The sequence below is a fragment of the Homo sapiens genome, chromosome 6 (genome assembly GCF_000001405.40).
Source record: "Homo sapiens chromosome 6, GRCh38.p14 Primary Assembly".
Lineage (NCBI taxonomy): Eukaryota > Metazoa > Chordata > Mammalia > Primates > Hominidae > Homo > Homo sapiens.
The window spans coordinates 161434690-161458208 of NC_000006.12; the positions used below are offsets into that span (position 1 = coordinate 161434690).

The following is a 23519-nucleotide window of genomic DNA, read 5'->3' on the forward strand; positions in this document are numbered from 1 at the left end:
CTTTCACCTGTCTCTTCAGGATTATAGCTGAAGCAGGGAAAGAAAGCTCTTTGAAAAGTTTAACGCAATTTGAAACATGAAAATCTTCAAGGTCCTAAAATTGGGGGGCATGCTGAAGGAAATTCAGTATCATTTCTTTCTGTAATATATTCATCTTTAAAAATAAAACAAAAAAAGACCACAAGTTTGGCGCGGAAAAACACCAAGGGTAACGTAGCATGTGTGTTTCTGGGAGGAAGGAGAGGGGAGGGTTAAAGAGTTCCTGGGAAGAAGCCCAACTTCTTGGCTGAAATTTACTGAAAGCCTTTGCCCGGCATGATCTTGCTCTCTTGTGCTCATGACAAAGAAATGTAACCTTTGGCCAATTGCATTTTTGTTCCACTGGTAACTAGGTTAATGTGAACAGACAGATCTGGTGAGACAGCATGGGAAGAAATAACACATGGGCTTTTGTGCAGCTGGATATAATGAAGGTAAATTGGGTGGAATTCAAAGATTTGCCAGAAAAAAGAGAGATGATTTCACTCTAAAATCATTTTGCAAGATAATATTTTACAAGGAACCTTTTGGACATGCATTATAAGCGGTTACATTCCCATTGTCCTAAAAAACTCCCTGCATAGTTGTACTCTATTTTTATCAAGCCATGCTCTGACGCCTCCTGCCTGGTTGGCGATAATCCCTAATGCAAAGGGATCGTGTGAAGGTAAGTGAAGTCGTTTTGTTAATGTTGTTTATAAAGAAGCACTGAGCTTCTACTTTGTGCAGAGAGCTTTACAAATATTCATATGAGCTTTATGAATATTTACAAATATTGGCGCATTAAAAAAATAAAATGTGTTCATTTTAAATATAATAATGTAGGTGTCATTGCTATCCCCGTTTTACCATTGCAGAAATGGAATTTCAGAGGTGTCAGGGGCCAGCTCAAGGTCACTGATGAATCAGGACCCGCTTATCCAGCTCTCTCTGCCTTCAGAGCTCTCTTGACTTTTCTGCATCACTTCCTTTACCAGGAATGATATTTAAATTATTCCAAAATGTAAAATATAGTTAGTTTTCCAGGCAGTTGTATTTATTTCTGGATTTTTTTTTCCCTAAATAAAACCTGTATCTACATGAAAACTCCTCCAGGATTTCCTTTCCTCATGAAGTGTGTGGTTTCCTCAAGGACTGCCTGGGAGGCCCTGAGGCCGACCCACTCCTCCCAGCAATGACTTGGGGAGGAGGGAGTGGGGGAAGACAGAGAGCAGGGGGGTGGGATGGGAGGGCAGAGAGGAGGGGGAGGGATGGGAGGGCAGAGAGGAGGGGGAGGGATGGGAGGGCAGAGAGGAGGGGGAGGGATGGGAGGACAGAGAGGAGGGGGTGGGATGGGAGGGCAGAGATGAAGAGGCAGAATGGGAGAGCAGAGAGCAGGGGAGGAGGATGGGAGAGACAGAGAGCAGAGGCTGGGATGGGAGGGCAGAGAGGAGGGGGCGAGATGGGAGGGCAGAGAGCAGGGGGCAGGATGGGAGGGCAGAGAGCAGAGGGTGGGATGGGAGGGCAGAGAAGAGGGGGCAAGATGTGAGGGCAGAGAGCAGGGGAGTGGAATGGGAGGGACAGAGAGCAGGGGCCGGGATGGGAGGGCAGAGAGGAGGAGGCGGGATGGGAGGGCCTGCTGTGTGCCCTCATCAGGTGGATTTCATTCGCTGGGATGGAAGAGGAGGCATGGCATAGAGACATGAAGTTCTAGAATGTTTTTGGCCACTCTCTGCAAACTCAAGACTTTTTTGGGGGGGGGTGGGCGGAGAGTGCAAATAATGCCTTTTTGGAGTTGTAATTGCTCCCTGGGAGGGTTAAATTTTTAATGATTTGTAATGTCCTGGTAGGTTCCTGCATTCATGAACTGCTTGGGTGAATGGCTGTGATTTGGAAGTGAGGATGGGAGAGAAAGAGAGAAAGGCATGATGGGAACGTGGGTCAAATTGAAACTCCTGCTCTGACCTCATCCCTTCCGGGGGATGACTCTTATTATCCTGGTTGGCTACTTGCAGGCATGTCTATACACAGGCCACCTGGATTAAGAGCCATTCCTCAGGGTCTCCTGGCTATTGAAATGTCTGTATCTGTAAGAGTAGCTTTCAGTGTCTGAAATTGGCCTTTCCTCTCTCTCTATGTGTTAGGTTCCACCTGGTATTCACTTAGGGAGACCGGTCACCCTCTGCAGCTCTGTCTCACTACTGGGTACAGTGAAGAGGTTTACAAGCTTGGTAGCAGTGCCTATGAAAATAACAACTAGGATGCTTCTGTTACCATCACAGTCACCCCCATTATCCAAGGGGGATACGTTCCCAGACCCTCAGTGTATGCTGAAATCACGGGTAGTACCGACCCTATATATGCTGTTTTTTCCTACACATACATGCCTATTACGAAGCTTAACTTATAAATTAAGCAAAGTAAGACATTCACAACAGTGCTACAGCAGAGCAGGTATAATGGTGCGAGGACCACGACACAAGCTACGTGAATGTGGACTCCCGCTCTCTCTAAATATCTCATTGTCCTGCGCTCATCCTTCTTCTTGTGATCTATAGCTCTGCTATCCCAGATGGCTACTAAGTGACTTCTGGGCGCGTGGTGTCTACAGCGTGGAGATGCCAGACAAAGGGAGGATCCACATCCAGGTGGGAGGGTGTGAGATTTCATCGCACAACTCAGAACAGTGAGCAATTTAAAACTTAGGAAGTGTTGAGCTGGTATTTTCCATTTAATATCTTCGGGCCTCGGTTGACTGTGAGTACCAGAGACTGCAGGAATCGAAACCATGGATAAGCGGGGACTCCTGTATGCGCTTTGGCAGTGACTGGTGGCGTGGATGCCACAAGGCAGGGGAGCCTGGGCTAGGCTGGTTGCTGTCTGGAAAAGGGGCCCCCTTTGGCTTTTTACACAGGTATGGCCAAGGGATGTGACCTCACCTGAGCTGGGACAGGCTGTGTATAAAAACCAAGCATCATAATTCTGACATCGTATATTAATGTGTTCCTGAAAGGAATATTAAATAATGCCTTTCTCAAAGTAGTAACATTAGTGTATCTACTAAGCTCACCTAAGCAGGGCTAGTCTGTGACATGCAGAAAATAAGCATAACGTAGTCAAAGGCATATTTTGAAAGTGACCATTATGCAACTATTAAAATAAATAATACCTTTCCCCAAATAGGAACACTAGTATATCTACCAAAGGCAGGTTGCTGGTGACTACTTGATTGGTAAACATTTGTTTATTCTTCCCTTGTAATTGACACAGTAATTATATGAGCCCACATCTATCCTCATCCGTTTAAATACAGAGCTGGTGTGAGTCGTACTAAGTCAGGATGATGGTATGTGGGTCCGTGATGCTATATTCCATGGGTTAATATAATCTGCACATCATTTAACTAATCCACTGAGGGAGCTGGTCTGTCCCAGAAGTTTTGTTATTAAATGGAATAGTCAATGTTCTTGTTTTCTTACAAATTCACTTACAGGGAGAATTCTGTTAATTTTTTTTTTTTTTTTTTTTTGAGACAGAGTCTTGCTCTGTCTCCAGGCTGGATTGCAATGGCGTGATCTCGACTCACTGCAACCTCCGCCTCCTGGGTTCAAGTGATTCTCCTGCCTCAGCCTCCTGAGGAGCTAGAACTACAGGCACACACCACCACGCCCAGCTATTTTTTGTATTTTTAGTAGAGATGGGGTTTCACCATGTTGGCCAAGATGGTCTCTGTCTCTTGACCTCGTAATCCGCCCACCTTAGCCTCCCAAGGTGCTGGGATTACAGGCATCAGCCACTGCGCCCGGCTGAATTCTGTTAAATTTTACATACAGCATGTAGGGCAGAAGACATACTTTAAACTCATAGGTTTTCTTACTTTCACTCAGAAGGGAAGGGAAAACAGTACAATTCGGCGAAATAGGAAATCTAAATCTTTCAATGCATGGGTCATGTGGAAACCGAGAGAGAGAAGAAAATCGAAAAATAGATGATGGATGTTGTTAAGGAATTAGTAAACCGTTAAGTGCTCTATCATTATTAGATATTCGGGTGATCATCCCGCATGTAGCTATTTGACCAATGCTGCTTGTAAATTGGCTTAGGAAAATTAACATACATTTTATTAAACTGACGAGTATGCCTTTTACTGAAAGCAAGGAATAGACATAGCCATTTTGTTTAAGAAATATAAGCACATGAGAGGCTTAAAAAGGTAGGGGTTGTATGTTCTCAGCACTGCAGCTAAATTCTTAAATGGAAACTGTTCTTTTAGCAGTTTCAGAGTAGGCTATCTCAAGCTGATTGCTACAGACTCAAATTTTAAGTCGCATTTCTTTCAGAAACAGAAGGAAAGTCAATCTCACTTTCGAAAAGAGAAAGTAAGGTGACCCTTGTCATAGTAACATAATGCAGCAGGTCCCAGGTGTAACCCGGAGGAAAAGGCAGACAAGGTCCTGCGATGCCGCAGCTGAAAGGAAGCTGACGCCAACGGGCTTCTCAGAAGAACAATGACTCATTAGTCCCGGGCTCACGGCAGATGCGGTCTCCCAACAACTGGCCTCCCTCCAAAAACATGGAGGAAATCAAGAGGGCAGAGCCGGGAAGGAGGCTGCATCCCTCGCCTGATGGGGAGCACTCCTAGCAGGCACAGGGTAATCAGAAAAGTGCTTTGGAATCACAAAATGAAAAAACAAGTGTCAGCTGTGGGAGATGTAGAAATGCAAATAAGTACGAATGCAAATAGGCCGGATAAATGGCAGTGTGCAATCACCCAAAGCTCTGTTTACAACCCGAAGGCAGCTCCGTCTGTAATTATCTGGGCGCCATTAACTGCGTGGGAGCAGCTCTCAACGGGTACAAGAGAGATACCACCAGAAGTGAAATGTCCTCTCTCCCGTGATGAAGCCAGATCTCCGAGCGATTCCATCTACACTGAACTAAACCGGTTTGTGCCAAAGAGCTAGAAGTGTACCTTTGGTGAAACAAGGAAGCTAGATTTTTTTTTATTGCTTACTGCGCATCTGAACGTAATTCTTGCCATTAATTAAGAAAACAGATGATAAGAGATTTGGCTTCAATAAACATGTACTGAAAGCTACCACATCATTGAGTTTAATTATGCAAGCAATCTCGTGGGGCAGGTACTATGAGCTCAGATAGACTTGGTCAAGGTCGTCCCAGTAGAGCTGAGATTCGAGCATCAGTATTTTGGGCCTAGGTTTTTTTGTTTTTTGTTTTGTTTTGTTTTTTGTTTTTTTTTTTTGACGGAGTCTCACTCTGCCGCCCAGGCTGGAGTGCAGTGGCGCGATCTCGGCTCACTGCAAGCTCCACCTCCCGGGTTCATGCTACTCTCCTGCCTCAGCCTCCTGAGTAGCTGGGACTACAGGCGCCCACCACCACGCCCGGCTAATTTTTTTTGGTATTTTTAGTAGAGACGGGGTTTCACCGTGTTAGCCAGGATGCTCTCCATCTCCTGACCTCGTGATCCGCCCGTCTCGGCCTCCCAAAGTGCTGGGATTACAGGTGTGAGACACTGCGCCTGGCCTGGCCCTAAGTTTTTACCCTTCCCATTATGTCAGAAGTTCTCAGTTGACAATGTCTGGAGACATTTTTCACTGTCACACTACAGAGTGCCACTGGTGTCTAGCAGACAGAGGCCAGAGACTCTGCTAAACATCCTACAATGCAAAGAACAGTCCCCCTGACAAAGGATTATCCCACCCCAAATATCAAGAATGCTGACACGGAGGTTGAGAAGCCTGGCATTTCCCCATTGCTGCCTCTGGGAGGCTGCCTCTCGGGATAGATTGAATTGTTCTGCAAAGACATGGTCGGCAGACACAGAGGGTTCCCTCACCAGGGGTCTGGGAGTTGCTGGAAATGGATAAGAAAATCCTAGTTCTACCTCGCAGACAGGGAGGAAGTGAAGAGGTGAGGCAGTAAAAATTCATAACATATCTATCACAAATGCATTCTGAGATTGCTTGGATCTAAATTGCCCTTTCCAAACCCAAGAGATATTTCCAATGCCACCTGAAGGTCCTGAGAGCTCCCTGACATCATTCAGGACTGAAGGTAGAAAGTAGAATGGCCCTGGGTTTTCTGAGGGTTCTTTATTTGTCTTCGAGAATATTAAAGACCAGCATCTCTCCAGAATACAAATAAGAGTCTAATGTGATAAGAGGCTGAACTGAAGGTGTCCCTAGAAAATTTAAGACTAAAATGTCAGCTGAAAGACAAAGAGAAAGATGGGATTGTTCTTGCAAAATCTCATTGGTAAAGAGAGAGAGGATTTTCCTAACAAAAATGTTCTGAACTACAAGCATCTCAGAGGGATTTTTGAATTTTGGCCAGCTAAACACCATCAGGGGTTCTGGGGGGTTAGTCAAATAAAGTCAGAAAGGGCCTATCTGCGGCACAAAACACAGCACAGCCAAAGCTGTGGCCACCGCAGGAGGAGCAGGAGAGAACCTGGTGAGGAGCAAGAAAGAGCAGCTCAGCTCTGCGGAGAAGCATGGTGCTCAGCCATCACTGCTCGAGCGTGAAGAGAAGCGCAGTCCATGGCAGTTTGGGATGTGGTTGGAAGCTCTGCATCACAGTTCACATACTTACTAATTTTGTTGATTTGTGAGCTACAGAAAGAGTCTGGGGTCCTGTCCAGGTGCGGTGGTTCATGCCTACAATCCCAGCACTTTGGGAGGCCAAGGCGGGCGGATCACTTGAGGTCAGGAGTTTGAAACCAGCCTGGCCAACGTGGTGAAACCCCGTATCTACTAAAAATACAAAAATTTGCTGGGCGTGGTGGCACGTGCCTGTGATCCCAGCTACTCGGGAGGCCAAGGCAGGAGAATCACTTGAACCTGGGAGGTGGAGGTTGCAGTGAGCTGAGATCATGCCACTGCACTCCAGCCTGGGCAACAGAGCAAGACTCTGTCTCTTAAAAAAAAAAAAAAAAAAAAAAAAAGGATCTGAGGATCTGGGGTCCTGAGAGCTCCAGTTCTTCCCCGCAGTTCCCAGAGCTGCTCCTGCTGATACAGGTTCTGCTGCCAAGGCATCCCAGGGGCCTCAGGGTCCCAGGAAGGGCCAAGGCTGCAGCTGCCACCTGCCTGGGGGCTCCTCGGCCATCCGGCATCTTCCCTCCCTCCATCCCTGGCCTGCTGTTCTGAGTCTCTGAGAAGAGCGTCTGGCGGCTGGCAAAGGGGCTACCATGGAGGAATGGTCTTCAGGAAGTGGATAAAGCTGGCCCTGCCTCATGCCAATCAGCCCAGCAAGCAGGGAGGACATCGCCAATGAGTTTCTGGTTTTCACTTCAGAAGTTATAGAGACGATGTAAGATGAAATACTGTTCAGTGGGCTAATGCAGCCACACGAGTGAGTTTTATTTTCATCCCTACTTTAATAAACATACATGTGCCAAGCTGGCTCTGAATTATTTAAAATTACAGCAGTCAGAAGAGAGACCTTCTCAAAGTCTGTCAGAAAGATTTTTAATCATCTTTAAGTAAACTTCAATTTCTCTGAAATTGAAGGAGAATTATTTCTCCACTTCAAAAGTCAGTACAGAGCCATTGAAGGGGCTTTCCACCTCCTACGATAAGTAAAAACATAAAATGATTAGCACAAAAAATACACCATGAAATGAGTTTAAAGTCCTTAATCTTGAAGGCTAGATTTAAGACACTATTCTTACTGTCCACAAACAGGTTTACTTTAGTGATCATAACAAATGGCTTTTATTCAGAACCATTACTCAGTATGATTTTAAAATCTCGGGCTTCATCTTTTGGATAATTCACATGACCTTCTCCTTAGTGGGCGAGTACAAGAAGGCACTGAATAGCGTGCCGTTCCGCACCACCAAGCGGAAGGGCAGCACTGCTTGTATCTAAGGTGGCGACCTGGACCAAGGGTGGCCTTCGCTGTCTTGGACTGGACGGGCTGGACTCCCAGCTGAAGGTGGCTTGGAATTTAGCTGTTCCTTCGGGGCCCCGCTTACACACCAACACCCATGAATGCTTTTCAACGAAGTTGCTAGAATGCAGCCGTGGAGACGAACAGCTTACCGAGAGCCTCTGCCAGGAAGCAAAAGAGAGGTTCTCTTCCCTTTCATTTTGGACATCGTAACAACTAAACATAACATTTATATCACTATCTGTCAGCAGTTTAACATAAACCCTCTCACTTACTGCCAATGTGTCCACGCTGCTCCTCAGGCAAGCCATTCTCCCCAGTGCACAGATGAGGAAATCGGGGCTCTGAGAGGTTAACTGACCTGCTCGAGGTGAAGAAAATGAGTAGGGATTAGAATCAGGGAGCGAGGCCGGGCGCGGTGGCTCATGCTTGTAATACCAGCACTTTGGGAGGCCAAGGCGGGTGGATCACCTGAGGTCGGGAGTTCGAGGCCAGCCTGACCAACATGGAAAAACCCCATCTCTACTAAAAATACAAAATTAGCTGGGTGTGGTGGTGGTGCATGCCTGTAATCCCAGCTACTTGGGAGGCTGAGGCAGGAGAATTGCTTGAACCTGGGAGGCAGAGGTTGCAGTGAGCCAAGATTATACCACTGCACTCCAGCCTGGGTGACAGAGCAAGACTCCGTCTCAAAAAAAAAAAAAAAAAATCAGGGAGTGAAGTTCCTCCAACACGCGTGGTCTTATACTATGTCACTGTGACTTACCACATGCCCTGCATGGGGCGGGGGAACTGGCGTGCATTGCCTAAATCAAGCGCAGGAGTTTGATGGTACCACGAAGCGCCACAGGGTGTGGGAGCCTGAGAGGTACTCACGCAATGCCCGCTGGAAGATAAGTTCATTGTCGCACAGACTTTGTAACATTGTAAGGAAAGAAGCCTGACAGTAGTTTTACAAATCACACCATATAAATTATTAATGGTAAATAGATAACCCAGAGTGGACAGTACATACTGCAATTTATAAGAACAATCAGTTTTTTTAAATGGTCATAACCATTTAAAAAAAAAGAAAAAAAGAGAAAGAAATCCTCCGCAGTCATTAGTTCAGTCAGTTTTACCTTTGGTAGAAACAAGTGTGCTTCAGCTGCTAATATTACTCCTGCCTAAACTGATGCCCCGGTAGGCAGAGCCAAGGGGTTAATGGAAAGAGTGGAGCACGCTGAGCATTTTGCCATCACAGATGCCTCTCTAAACGTCTCTAGCTCAAGTAATAACGGAGCTGCCTAATTGCAGTCATTAAGGAGCCTGTGACTTTAAATGACAAAGGTAGAGATGCTGGCATCAGCAGCCTGTTAGCATTTAATTTACATGAAATTCGATTCAGTGTGCACGAACTAACTAGGAGGCGCCAGGCTTAGGCCTTAGGCAGACAAAGAGCAAAAGTGTGGGAGGCTGGGTGGGGCCGGTGAGCTCTGGAGCTTCTGGCTCCTGGACTGGGGGACTGGGAATCGGCCAGGCCAGGCCCAGCGGGTGGGAGCTGCAGATACCACTTCTCCAGGACCCATCCCAGGGCAGCTTCATGGGATGGGCCTGGCTGAGTGAGCTTCCTAAGGAAATCCTCTTGCCTGGAAGAGGCTCCCAATCATCTGTCAACTTGTCTTTCCTATTTAGCAAACGATTGAGATTCTCTTCCTTAAAGACACATTCTCTGATGAACAGAATGTGCTCTGTAATGGGTTTAGCCAAAGCATCCCCACCACCTTCCTCCAGGAATGTGTATGTCTGTGTGAAGTCCTCAAGGTCATTAGATCTCATGAATTTACTCCGGCATTTCCATTTCCATGCATGCTTTTTCCATTTAGACTAAACTAGCGCTTGGGGTGCTTGCCATGCTCCAAGAAGTCCCTGCAGCCCCTGGTTAGTGGGAGACGCAGAGCAGGCATTCAGTCAGCAAATATTAATTGACGTGGTGAGGTTGTGCTCTGAAAAGCTGAGTTCCTCCTGAGAGGCTAATTCACTGTGCTCAGCCTGTCTGCGGGTAGCGAGGGCTCCTGAGTAACAGCGAGCTTTGCACGAGCGCTACCGCGTGGCGGTGGAAACATTTGTTCCCCTTGATGAATGAAACGGCACTCTTGACATGCTGTACGGACAGAATCTTTACATGTCGTTTATTTTGCATTTCAAATGCTTTGAAAAAAGCCTTCCCGTGGTTTTGGCCAGAGGTATTTGTTATCAGTTTAATAGATTTATTCCTGTTTTGCTAAGGTATGTAATAGTTATTTATTTTTAAAAAAAGCCAGTACCTCTCCAGTCTTCATTTTCATTTATCCTTAGCATGGTCTTTTCTAAAAAGGGCATTTGGCACAATATCTTTTTTTGTTTTTTTAATCTCTAGGTAACCAACCCCTGCCTACATTTTACTCTGGATTCCAAGAGTAGACTGGGCTTCAGGGACCAGATGCCAGGGCTGGCACATCTGCCTAAAACCCATAATTCTTGAACTTGACGTGCTCAGCCTCTCCAAAGCCGCGGCGCTGACACAGCTCCCCCTGCACGAGTGTACAGCAGTCAGACAGGAACGGGGAGAGGGGGCTCAACTTTCTGACGGCCACTTAGAGGCTGCCTGACCACAAAGACAGGACTGTAAAACATAGACCGCATGTGACCTGCTGGTGCTCGGCACTGACCCAGGGGAGGAGGGCCACTTGGGCTGGAATGCAGTTGCTGGGGGCTCATGAGGGGCTCAGTGGTGCCCCTGGCCACCGAGTCAAGCAGCGTAGATTGATCAGAGGAGCTGAGAGCTGAGGCCCACCCTCCCCTTTCTCCTACACATGGACACCTCTGAGTGGAATAAGGGAAGACTGTCCTTTCTCCAAGCTTGAAGGAAGATGACTGTGACTCTTTTCCTGGACTTCAAGGCATCGAAGTGTCAGCTGGCTGCCATCCCAGCGTCTGACAGGGCAGCAGGAGAAAGAGGCCACCTGTATCATCCACCCGTGCTGCAGCTGAATGGGATCGGTGCAGCATGATAGAGGCCAGCTGCCCCGCACCAGGTCTGCGTGTCACAGGGCAGAGTGCATGGTCTCCCTTCACGTGCGGGGCCAGGTGACTGCACAGAGTGATGAGCTGGGCCCACTTTCCTGCTATTGGCCGCCAGCAAAGAATACAAGGGGTTTCCCTTCCCTTCCCTTCCCTTCCCTTCCCTTCCCTTCCCTATCGACAGCCTTGCAGGGTGGTGGTTTCCTTTGCCCGGAGAGTTCAGAGGCCTTAGTTCTGGAAAGCCTCCTGTGGGGAGATGGAGTGGCGGGGATAGGGACCAGAGCAGAGAGGGCAGCAGCATAAACAAAGAGGAGAGGCAAACTGTTTGAGCCCAGGAGTTTGAGACCAGCCTGGGCAACATGGTGAAACCCTGTCTCTATAAAAAATATAAAACTTAGCTGGGTGTGGTGGCACATGCCTATGGTCCCAGGTATCTGGAGCATGGGGTGGTGGTGGGGTGGTGGGAGGATCATCTGAGCCTGGGGAGGTCGAGGCCACAGTAAGCTAGGATTGTATCACTGCACTCCAGCCTTGGCAACAGAGAGAGATCTTATCTCAGAACAAAACAAAAAAATTGGAGAAGGGATTTCTCTGATTTCTCCCTTTGGGAAGGGAGGCTTGGAGGCTGCCTGGGGCTGAGCAGGGAGCACCATGCTTGTAGGCCTTTGGGGAGGTTTCGAGGTCCAAGTGTGACTTAGAGGAACTGGGAGATGCCAGCAGACACTGAGACCCAAAGGGGCCTGGCTTGGGACCTATGCAGCTGTGGGAGGGGAAAGGCCCTCCCCGCTACCAGATGCAGACTCTGGTGCCCTGAAGCCTGGCGTCTGAGCCAGATCTGACTTTGTGTAGAAGCATAAAAGGAGTAGGATGTTTGTGATGGCTGAGCGTCATGGAGGAATTCATACCTGTTCCTGGAGCAATCTATTTTTAACCTTGTTAACCTGAACTGTACTTTAAGATTGAAACTAAATGCAGCCTCTTTTCTACCCATGATTTATTAGACCTCCCCTTTCTATCAAATTAAAGCTCTGCACAAACGAAACAATTCATCCTCATCTAATTTATAACCATCCTCCCACACTAGGAATATGGAGCCAGGAATGAGGGAGGTTCACGTGGGAGGTGGCAACTGCAGAACAGACAGCTCTTTGGATTTCTTTAAATTGCCATTTAATTCCATCCATCAACCCATTTTTCTGCTGTATACATAGAAAAGGACAACAGCCACTCCCTCAACCAAATATCCCTACATTCAGTTAAAAGCTACTCTGTACCCCAGGACATGGGAGCAGCTCCTATCCTTCCCAGGTGAAAAAGTGGGCTTTTTTTCCCCCTTAAGGCTAAATAGGATTTCTTTTCTGTTAGCTATGGGTAGGTGACTTCTTAATGATCTTTAAGGAAAGAAGTCAATACAAGGAAAATATCCTTTTTTAATCCCATTTTCCTTCTCACCCCACACTGAGCGTTACTATAGCAACATCTTTCCTGCTACTAGGACAGTTAAGTCCCCCTGTGAAGTTAACCGAAAGCTGCTTTTTCACTCAGAGAATGGGCTGCTGTTCATTGACCAGCTTTTCCTGCGTGTCTAAATTCTTCGGTTCTCTCTGACATGCTCAATCTAGGGTTTCCCGCGGCTAAACCCTAAAATTCACTTCGAAACTCCTAACAGCAGAATTCCCCAAACCTTTTCAGAACTGAACTCATTAGAAATGAATTTACATTTTGATTTAGTTATAAATAACTTTTCTTCTGTGTATTGGTTTAAGTTTAGAAAAGGCCCCCTGTAAAGAAGACAAGTTGGAGAATAATCTCCCATATTCCTCTGCCATCCTTTCTTTCCTTCCTTTCCTTGAGATGGAGTCTCTCTCTGTCGCCCAGGCTGGAGTGCAGTGGAGTGATCTCAGCTCACTGCAACCTCCGCCTCCCGGGTTCAAGCGATGCTCCTGCCTCAGCCTCCCGAGTAGCTGGGACTACAGGCATGCACCACCATGCCTGGCTAATTTTTTGTATTTTTAGTAGACACAGCGTTTCACCGTGTAAGCTAGGATGGTCTCGATCTCCTGACCTCATGATCAGCCCGCCTCGGCCTCCCAATGTGCTGGGATTACAGGTATGAGCCACCGTGGCTGGCCTCCTTTTTCTTTTAAACACATACATACATATATGTAAAAACAAAAGAAAATTTCAGGACCTTCCAAATTTCACAGGCCTAGAGGAAAGTTAAGCCCTGGAAATGGAGTTGTGAGAGCAGGCTGTTTTTTCTCTCTGGTGCGTGACCACTGCTTCCTGATTTTTGTGTTGAGATCTTAGACCTTAACCAGACTTATAGCCTTCATTCAAACCAGACTGAATGATGTGGGAGGTAGGGACCTTGGTCATTGTTATCTCTTTATAATAAAATGCTAAGCAACCCCCTTAGAGTGAAGTCAACAGTAGCCAATCAAATCTTACATCTGTGTGTTAGCCGTTGTATGGAAAACACCGTGATTCTGTTCAGCGCCTCCCTTTTGCCTCCATAAAAGATCTTCACTTTTCCCCACACCGTAATATTTCACTGGATTCTTGGAATATCAGAAATTCATCATTCTTTGGTGTCTGCGTATCTCTGAATGGCCACTCCCATGCAGCCCTTGAATGAATTACTTAACTGGATCCTAAGCATTTTGATTATTTTAGATGGACATATACACATGCATATACACGTATGTGTACATACACATATGTAATGAAATTGTTCCAAAACACAGAAAATACAAAGACTAATGTAATCAGGACTCACATATCCACATCTTAGATTTAATGCTGATTTCGGGGGGCATTTTTGCTTCAAATTTGTAAAAAGCAAAGGTTACAGACATAAAGATCTTGCGATTCTCTTATCCCAGTTTCTTCCGTCTTTCTTCTCTTCTTTCTCTTTCTCTGTCCCCCGAGGTAGCATCTATGCTGACGTTCCCGTATATCTTTTCCATCCAAATATTTGCATTTTTGCTACACATTACGTGCAAGGCTTTTATCTGCTTCCTCCTAATTTGTGGGGGCAAGAGGCTAGACATCTCTGGCTGGAAAGGCACTCCCTGCAGATCTGGGAAGCCATGAGCCACAGGAGCATTAGCTGTTCCTCTACCCTTTCGTTTCTTTGCTGGACAATCCTTATAAGCTGGAGTCCAAGTTAACCTTCCCAAATGAGTGGCACTATTATTTTAAAATAAAAGCGTTCAAGGTAGAGGATGACTTTGGGACTCTGGCAACACAGGAAGCCCAGTGTGTTCTCCCCAAGGTCACATTAAAAAGGTGGTGCATCTGAGATGGTGACTGCTCAGAATAAAGTGATAAGGGGACAAAAGGTGGATGGCTTACTTACAGGTGTTATGAATGAGACCATCAGGGCTCGGGTAAGAACATTGTCTGGGATAAATGGTTTGTGGTTATTGATCTGGACCAACCTGATAGAAAAGAAGCTGTGTGTATTATTATTACAATTTCTTGGTTTATGCTTGCAATTTATAATTTGTATGCTCAGTCAATTCTGCCAATATAAAATAGTAATGCCCCGGTTTCAAAATCTGATATTGGATTTTGTCCCACGATTTAGCATGTCCTCTAAGCAAAATAACTGTCCAACCAGATCACTTGCCTTCAACAACTTAAAACACAAGTAACTAGGGAGAAAAACAAACAAAGAAACATAAACTCAAAGAAGGTTTCAAGATTGACATAGAGAAAAATCTTTTCTCATCTATCCGTATGTACTCTCCCACTGCTCATCGTGGGCCCCAGGGAAAGGCGATTTTATTCAAAGAAGGTAACTCTGAACGTACTCAGGGCCGTAATATGTGAAATGTCTCCCAGTGTTTGACAAAAAGACTCTCTTTTCATGTTCATATTCCATGGAAATCTTAAGTCAAAGCAACAATAAAATAAGCTGACCCATAAGTGCACGTGTTGAAGAGGCTCAGCCAAGAAAAACTGTTTGGTAGTTGCTGAAAACTGGCATCTAGACCTCAAAGAGGAAATCAGAACCAAAGTGCAGACTTGTCCCACCAGAGATGGTGGGTGTTGGACTGAGTCAGCGACAGTGAGGCACTGACTAGACTTCCGTAACCAGCCATACTTTCTAGTTTATAATGACATTCATGGTTATTGTTCTACACAGACAGGTGTAGGGAAGCAATGGGAAAGTGCAGGAAAACAGAAGCATTGGGAATGGAACATCTTTGGTTTCTCCATTTCAATGCACTGCCATGACCCCCACACCCACCCACGAGACTTTAGCTGTTCCAGAGCCAACGGTGCCTGCCTCTTTGCTGATCCATTACTCATTCTCCCTACAGCTGCCTCATAGCTTTGGCTCCCAAGAGGTAAGGTACAGGTAGTCTGGCTGCCTGCATTATCCTCCAGCCTCAAAATACATGGGGAACTGAAAATAAACAAACTGTTGATTCCTTGAGCTTAAGAAGGCCTCTTGGTGTTCCTTTATACCTTTTCGAGTCTCTCCTAAGATCAGAGAGAGGAGTGAAGAGGGGGAAGGTGTATGGCCAAAGGAGGACTTGCCCTGATTGCCACTGGCAAAGACGCTGAGCCTTAGGGACCATCCAGAGGCATGCAGGACCCCTGCTGCAGCATTCTTGAAAAATGATGTCTTCCTACGCCTCCCTGACTCAACCAGAAGCTCACAGGTAAGAACACATCCCATGTTGCGAAGCTCCATCTATTGTGAGAACTTCTGCCCTGCCGGCTGCCTCTGACATGCCACATGCAAGTGATACCATTTACCCTACTTTGCAATACATAACAATCTGCACTGGTGTTTCCAATGCCCAATTGTTTTCTTGACTTCTCCATAAGTTTCAGCATATCTATAAACCACTCATACCATGATTTACTTAATGTTTTCTTTTTCTTCCTTTTTTTTTTGAGACGGAGTCTCGCTCTGTCACCCAGGCTGGAGTGCAGTGGTGTGATCTCAGCTCACTGCAACCTCTGCCTCCCAGGTTCAAGTGATTCTCCTGCCTCAGCCTCCCGAGCAGCTGGGACTACAGGTGCCCGCCACCACACCCAGCTAATTTTTGTATTTTTAGTAGAGACAGGGTTTCACTGTGTTAGCCAGGATGGTCTCGACCTCCTGACCTCGTGATCTGCCCACCCTGGCCTCCCAAAGTGCTGGGATTACAGGCGTGAGCCACCATGCCCGGCTTGTTTTCTTAATTTAATTAAAATTATTCCAAAATAAATATCATACCATTAATGTAAATAGAAAACACTGAATTGTGTTACTTGCCACACATAGAAGACAACTGCAAAAAATCAACAATATGAATGATATGAAAGTCAAACACTTTTGCCTGTGGAAGAGCCCAGGGCCTGCATTCTTGTTTTTAAAGAGGCAGGTAAGCAGGTAATAGAGAAGCCTTGAGGACTAGAACAGAACCGATGGAAAGAGAACTGGCAAGGGGCTAACTTCTGCATGACGTGTTTCCATGTTATTTCTCTTAGGTCCCAGCACCGCAGAAAATCATCTTGAACACCTCCCAAGGCCAATCTCCCATTGCAACAAATGAACTATTAAAAACAGGGGTCTCTTTTATCCTACCGTCATCTCATTTCCAGATAAAACACCTCCAGTTTCTTCAATGACTTCCACGAGAAGACCTCTCTGGAGAGGTCTGAACATTGTCTTCTGTCAGCTCCCTCTTGATTTTGGGACCAAGCATTGAATATAAAGTTAGGATGTGGCCTGATTAGCATAGGCAGAGTACTGAGAAGCCTTCCTTGTGCCTGTCACTACACTTCCATCAACAGACTCCATCAACAGGAGGCAACGCAGCCTCAGGATACCACCTGCCCACGGCCCACCTGAGGGAACCTGCTGCCCACAGCCTCTGCTCCCAGAGGGACCTACCCAGTCCCAAAGCTGAGGCACCACCCATCCTTGAATGGCCAGAGTAACCTGTCTCAAGAATATGAGCAAGATGATTCCAAGAGAAAGTGGCAGTCAACAGTGGTTTTGTACAATGCGGATAAATATTAGAAAGGCCATCCAGGATGCGTCATTTGCAAGCTTGGGTGGACAGGCAGCTGCCAACAGTGACAGCAGGTGGCCCATGAGTGAAACTTAGAGAATTAGGGGACTGCTTTGGTCTTGGCAGATTTCCTGGCCAGTCCATGGAACCCTCAAAATAGGTCCCTTAATTTTGTAGAAAAATGGTGTCACCTTTAAACGTTGTAAACTACATTTATAAATTTAAGACATTCTTTTTTTTCTTTTTTCTTTTCTTTTCTTTTACTTTTTTCTTTTCTTTTCTTTTCTTTTTTTGGGATGGAGTCTCACTCTGTTGCCCAGACTGGAGTGCAGTGGCATGATCTTGGCTCACTGCACCCTCCCCCTCCCGGGTTCAAGCGATTCTCCTTCCTCAGCCTCCTGAGTAGCTGGGATTACAGGCGCACCACCACACCCAGCTAATTTTTGTATTTTTAGTAGAGATGGTCTTTCACCGTATTGGCTAGGCTGGTGTCGAAGTCCTGATCTCAAGTGATCCCACCTCGGCCTCCCAAAATGCTGAGATTACAGGCATGAGCCACTGCGCCCGGCCTTAACACACTCTTAAGTACTTCCAAAGTCTGATTTAAAAAATAGTTTTGTTTTTCCTGAGGACTTAAATAACTTATAAATAAATCAAAGCAATAGATATAGTGCGCCTTAAGTTCTCTGAAAGGCTTTGATACTGTTTACAAACTTTGTCAGAGTTCAATTTAATATCCCTAGCCTCAGTCAATTACTCAATTGTGTTTCAAGCTAAGTCACAAGGCTGAGCTGTTTCACTAATTAACCACATTCCTTTAGAAGTTCAAGTATGTATAAATTCCTTAATACAAAATATTGGTTCTGTGTTTTTTAATTCTTTAAAACATTTCTCTACTTAATTCTAAATCTTTTAGGGTGAAAGATGATTAGCTACTAAGGAAACTATTGCACCATCCCACACAACTATTTTAGGTGATGTTCCTGTATTATTTTTGGGATTGTCCTCTCAATTTGCTTGTAGTTGCGTTATAATCAAAACGTTTAGCTGGGGTGCTGACTAGATTCTTCATGGTGACCAAGTGGGTTCCATGGAGCCCTATTTATAGTTGCCATAGTGATGATTCCATAACCCACAGGCGAGGGGCAGGGAGCCCTTGACTTTAAATCCAAATTCTCTCTCTCTCTCTCTCTAATATCATATATATTTTATATATATATAAAATACCTCCATTCAAGTCACTTGGCAGAATTTTGCACTATTGTGCTCTTAAGATATAAATATATTTCCATCTCAAGGTCACGTCAGGCTTAATAAAATTCTGTATTGTCAAAGTCTATACAGGACCACACACATTCTTCGTGTATTCAATCGCATTTTTGATATCTCTCATAGCCATTTTTGATAGTTGCAAATTCTAAGGCCATTCATTCCCACAATCTATTTGATGAAAGTTTTTAAAAAATGGAATATTCAATCCTTTATAGCCAATGAGGGCCTGAGCCTTGAACCAGTGAACAGTACTGAGTAGCAGTTAGGAGGGCGGGGAGTCAGACTGCCTGGGCTTAACGTCGTGGCTCTGTCACTCATTTCGTACTCTTAATCATCATGCTATAGAAACTCCCACAATGTGTGTGTGTGCATGTGTTATTAAATCCTTCAGATACTTCTCAGACTCTTGCCTGTGTAGATAAACAACGTGTGTTTTCTATCACCTTGGCTTGTCTCTAGTACCTGGTTTTTTAACCAAACATTACTCTGGGTGTTGTGGTGAAGGTATGTTGTAGATGGGGTTAAAATCTACAATCAGTGGGATTGCCCTTGATAATCTTAACGGGCCTCATCCATTTAGTTGAAAGGCCTTAACAGGTTTCTCAGAGGAAGAAATTCTGTTTCAAGATTACAACATCAGCTCCTGCTCCGTTCCCAACCTTCTGGCCCGCCCTGTAGGATTCAGACTTGGGGGCCTCCATGGCTATGTAAGTCAATTCTTTGAAATAAAGAGAACTCCAACTAATGCACAACGGTCGGTCCATCCCTCCCTCCCTCCCTCCCTCCCTTCCTTCCTCCCTTCCTTCCTTTCCTCCTCCCCTCCCCTCCCCTCCCCTTCCCCTCTCCCCAAATTCAAAAAAAGTTAACTTTATGATTACCCTTTCTGGGAATACTAGTTGTTACTATACACATTATTCACATAGAAAAATCAGTAATGTACCAGTTGGTAGTTGAATTCTTCAGAGGGAAAGATTAGTATCTTATTTTTTATTTAATGAGATGAGGAACTAAAAGAGCATTACTATTCTTTACTACAATATATAACAGAAGTGTTTTCTTGGTGTCTGCAATGCAAATTCTGATGTCAGTAAATACATTGAGAGACTAATTTGTCAAGCAAGCACAGACCACACATGGTTTCTTTTTATTTCTTTCTTTCTGAGATGGAAGGAAACCTAAAAGTAACAATGTACACAACTCGCTAGGGTTGCCAGCAGCATTTTGGCGATGTCCCCTTGGGTCACAGAACGGCAGCATGGGTTCTATAGGTCGGGGTGGCATTAGCACTGACGGCACATAGCCTGTGTCTTTTGAGCTCACTTTCCATGTTATCCTAGGTCCTGTGAAAGAAAGACCTCAGGCTCACGTTATTAGATCCTTGGGTAATTCTCCATACTCTGAAGTTCTTGAAGAAGGCACTGGCTGGGGTTAGGGTGGCTTTGGGAAACCCTTGACTGCTTGAGGAATCCTTTCCAATTCCTTCCTTAACCAGGCAGGAGGAACAGCAGTTCATTCGTGGTCTTGAGTCCAGGTTCCAGGTTCTAAGCTTGGTCTATGCTTTTGGTGTGCTCTCTAACTCAATGATAATGATAGTCATGGAAGTTTCTTAATATCTGGGGTTTTGAAACTGTTAGTTCTTGGAGCAAGCCCAAGTTTATTTTGGGGGAACTTTGCGCCAGCATTGTAGTTATACTGAAATTTAGAATATGTGGGTTGAAAAGCACCAAAGCCAGTGTGAGAAATCCAGCCCACCATTAGGGCTACTGAAGTCCCATTAGGTTGACTACTTTCTGGAGGCCAATTGCACTTAACTTGGATTCCTGAGTGACTTTCTCTGGTCCATAACTTCATCTAGGTCACTGCTGAGACATCACCTCTCCAGTAAAACCATCTAGCCTGTCTAAAGTCATCCTTCCACTCCCCCAGTTGTCTCAGTTTCTCTGTCTTTTCTTCCCCAGCTATATTTTTCTTCATAACACTGGTTTCTCTAGACATTATATTACATCTAGATTTGTCATATCCTGTCTCTCCTATTAGAACATAGACTTCTTGAGACGATGGACTGTCAGTTTGGTTTAATTTGACACGTGTTTTTTTTTTTTTTGAGATGGAGTCTCACTCTGTCGCCCAGGCTGGAGTGCAGTGGTATGATCTCGGCTCACTGCAACCTCTGCCCCCCGGGTTCAAGCAATGCTCCTGCCTCAGCCTCCTGAGTAGCTGGAATTACAGGCGCCTGCCACCATGCCCGACTAATTTTTGTATTTTTAGTAGAGACGGAGTTTCACAATCTTGGCCAGGCTGGTCTTGAACTCCTGACCTTGTGATCCACCTGCCTCGGCCTCCTAAAGTGCTGGGATTACAGATGTGAGCCACCACGCCCGGCCTGACACGCTGTGTTCTAAACACCCAGCACAATGGCCAGCATGCAGAAAACACTGCAGAAATATTTGCTGCATGAATGACTTGCTATTTACATCAGCCTACTAAATGCTACCCAGTGAGTAGAAAAATTTCAAATGAAAGCATCCTAATCATTCCTTTTTTTATAGAGGCCTATCAGTGTAGGCTATTCTAGTGGAGGAAATCACATCCGGTCCCTGGTGCCATGAAGTTACAGAAATATTAGGTGCAGGCCAGGTGCAGGGGCTCACGCCTGTAATCCCAGCACTTTGGGAGGCTGACGCGGGCAGATCACAAGGTCAGGAGACCGAGACCATCTTGGCCAACATGGTGAAACCCCATCTCTACTAAATACAAAAAATTAGCCAGGTATGGTGGCACATGTCTGTAATCCCAGCTACTTGGGAGGCTGAGGCAAGGGAATCTCTCGAACCCGGGAGGCGGAGGTTGTGGTGAGCTGAGATCGCGCCACTGCACTCCAGCCTGGCGACACAGCAAGACTCCGTCTCAAAAAAAAAAAAAAAAAAATTAGGTGCATACAAATAAATACATATACACATACTTTAACTCATATCAACATATTATAGAGAAACAAATATTGAAAAGAATTTCAAGGCTGGCCATGTGTGTTTATAGTTTCTTCCAGTTCAAAATCACTATGAAAAAATGTTTTCCTAAGGAGAACGTTGGCCTCTAGGGGAAGCAAAGGGCTCCTGTGTTGTGATGGTTAATATTGAGTGTCAACTTGATTGGATTGAAGGACGCAAAGTATTGTTCCTGGGTGTGTCTGTGAGGGTGTTGCCAAAGGAGATTAACATTTGAGTCAGTGGGACTGGGAGAGGCAGACCCACCCTCAGTCAGGATGGGCGAAATTGAATCGGCTGCCAGTGCAGCTAAGATAAAAGCAGGCAGAAGGGTGTGGAAGGCCTAGACTGGCTGAGTCTTCCGGCTTTCAAATTTCTCTCGCATTGAAAGCTTCCTGCCCTGGAACATCAGACTCCAAGTTCTTCAGCTTTTGGACTCTTGGACCTACACCAGTGGTTTGCCAGGGGCTCTCAGGCCTTTGGCCACAGACTGAAGGCTGCACTGTCGGCTTCCCTACTTTTGAGGTTTTGGGAGTCAGACCGGCTTCCTTGCTCCTCAGCTTGCAGACAGTCTATTGTGGGACTTCTCCTTGTGATCGTGTGAGTCAATTCTCCTTAATAAATGCCCCTTCATATATTCATCTATCCAATTAGTTCTGTCCCTCTAGAGAACCCTGACTAATAATCTCCCACATCACCAGCTTGAATCCTGCCCAAGAATAAAGAGGATCAAGGACAGGGCACTGAACTGTACCAAAAGAAAGCTGCTCTTTGGGTTTGCGAATGCTGACCTGGGTCTGCTTTGTATGGGTGGTCAGAGGGTGAAAGGGTCTGGGGTACATGCACATGACCCTTCCTCTTCCTCTTCCACCCACATGCCCAGAGAGCTCAGGGCTTCCTCAGGAGAAGAGATGGTCTCATTGCTCAGGGAACCTTTTCTCCTAGGCAAACAGAGGTAGTGTGGCAGCTGGAAGAGGCCTGGAGTGGTACTTGGACTTTGAAGCCAAACACTTGCCCTCTCAGAGCCTTTGCCTCCACTGTGGTCCTACCAGAGAGCTGAGTTCAGGACCTGGGTTTGGGCGTGGAAGGGCGGTGTGAGAGCAAGGCTGAATAGTCCAACTTCCTCCTTTAACAAATATCCACTGAGCGTCTTCGCTACGCAAGGCTCTCTTCCAGACCGCTTGGTTCTTTGGAGTCCAGGAGTTCTCCACTCGGTACACCCAGTTTTACCAAAGTTAAACCCATGAGATTTTGTAATAAAGCCAAGGCTAATAATAATGCATTCCATTACTTTTCCTACACATGTGTCTCTGTTAAGCACTTTGCAAGGAGGATGGGCAGCTGGGCCAATGCAGGATCCAACTATTCAAGATTCCTCCACTTACACAATATATTGACACTAACTCTGAATGCATCCCTACTGAATAGAGAACTCTAGTAATTTCTACTGAAAACATCAAATAAAAAAGCTACTACTTTAATAGAAATTACCTCTTCTAATTGCCCTACAATGATACAACTGTATTCTGAAAGGATACATGGATGTCATATAAATAACTCAAAATTCATGTTTATATTTATGTACAGTGCCTAGAACAATGATAAGACATGACTGCTGAATGTGTGGATAGATGGATGGGAGGATGAATGGATGCATGAATGAATTAATGAATGCTCTGTGATCTGAGGGCTGAAGATACATTACTGAAAACTCCAAGAAGGTCAGAAAGCAAAATCAAGGAATATGAAAATCTACTGTTAGGTACAAACGTGTCTCTAGAGAAGAGACTGGTTCTGAAAATAGGGAGAATGGGAACCACCAACTTCCTGTGTGTGTGTTACCACACTCTTAATATGAAAACATGTGTGATAAGAAGTCCAACATTTTGTAGATGACCGCACATGTAAGTTAAAGAAATAGTGGCCTTCTTTTGTCTTTCCTTTGTAGTTTTTTGGGAAAAGGACGCCAATAATCAAAAGACCTGCAGAAAAGGTGATTTGGTGTTTCAAGGGTTGTGGGCTTTTATGGGACACAAGCTGAACTGTCATGCAGACAATGACCGCCTTCTGATTTACTTGGGCTGCTCAAAACTCTGGAAAGAAAAATAGAATATCCTAGCTGTTATGGGAATACTTATAAGAAGAAAAAGAGAAATACAGCTCTTTGTACATTCAGATTCCTTTAGCTTGAAAGAAAAAGGGTAGCCTCCTTTAAGAAAACCTTTGGGTTTGACAGAACATAAATAAATCTTAGTGCAGCTGCTTATCGAGC

General features: G+C 45.4%; 1 protein-coding gene and 1 long non-coding RNA gene across 7 annotated transcripts in view, besides 3 other annotated features; one reads left to right on the forward strand and one right to left on the reverse strand.

Annotated features, from left to right (window-relative positions):
• The window catches only part of PRKN (parkin RBR E3 ubiquitin protein ligase), a 1380350-nt gene that overhangs the window by 87273 nt on the left and 1269558 nt on the right, over positions 1-23519 (reverse strand). The window lies entirely within an intron of this gene.
• On the forward strand, positions 409-17846 carry LOC124901456 (uncharacterized). Its single transcript, XR_007059861.1, has 3 exons — positions 409-706; positions 10328-15647; positions 16465-17846. It is a non-coding gene; the product is annotated as an uncharacterized LOC124901456 (long non-coding RNA).
• Positions 7494-7694: a silencer, noted in NCBI's record as "peak6306 fragment used in MPRA reporter construct". NCBI's record gives its function as "represses an SCP1 promoter by STARR-seq MPRAs in K562 erythroleukemia cells {active_cell/tissue: K562}" and the evidence as "EXISTENCE:reporter gene assay evidence [ECO:0000049][PMID:32103011]".
• Positions 9031-9537: an enhancer, noted in NCBI's record as "NANOG-H3K4me1 hESC enhancer chr6:161864752-161865258 (GRCh37/hg19 assembly coordinates)". NCBI's record gives its function as "activates a minimal SCP1, AML or CMV promoter by ChIP-STARR-seq in primed H9 embryonic stem cells {active_cell/tissue: H9 hESC(primed)}" and the evidence as "EXISTENCE:reporter gene assay evidence [ECO:0000049][PMID:30033119]".
• Positions 9538-10042: an enhancer, noted in NCBI's record as "NANOG-H3K4me1 hESC enhancer chr6:161865259-161865763 (GRCh37/hg19 assembly coordinates)". NCBI's record gives its function as "activates a minimal SCP1, AML or CMV promoter by ChIP-STARR-seq in naive H9 embryonic stem cells {active_cell/tissue: H9 hESC(naive)}" and the evidence as "EXISTENCE:reporter gene assay evidence [ECO:0000049][PMID:30033119]".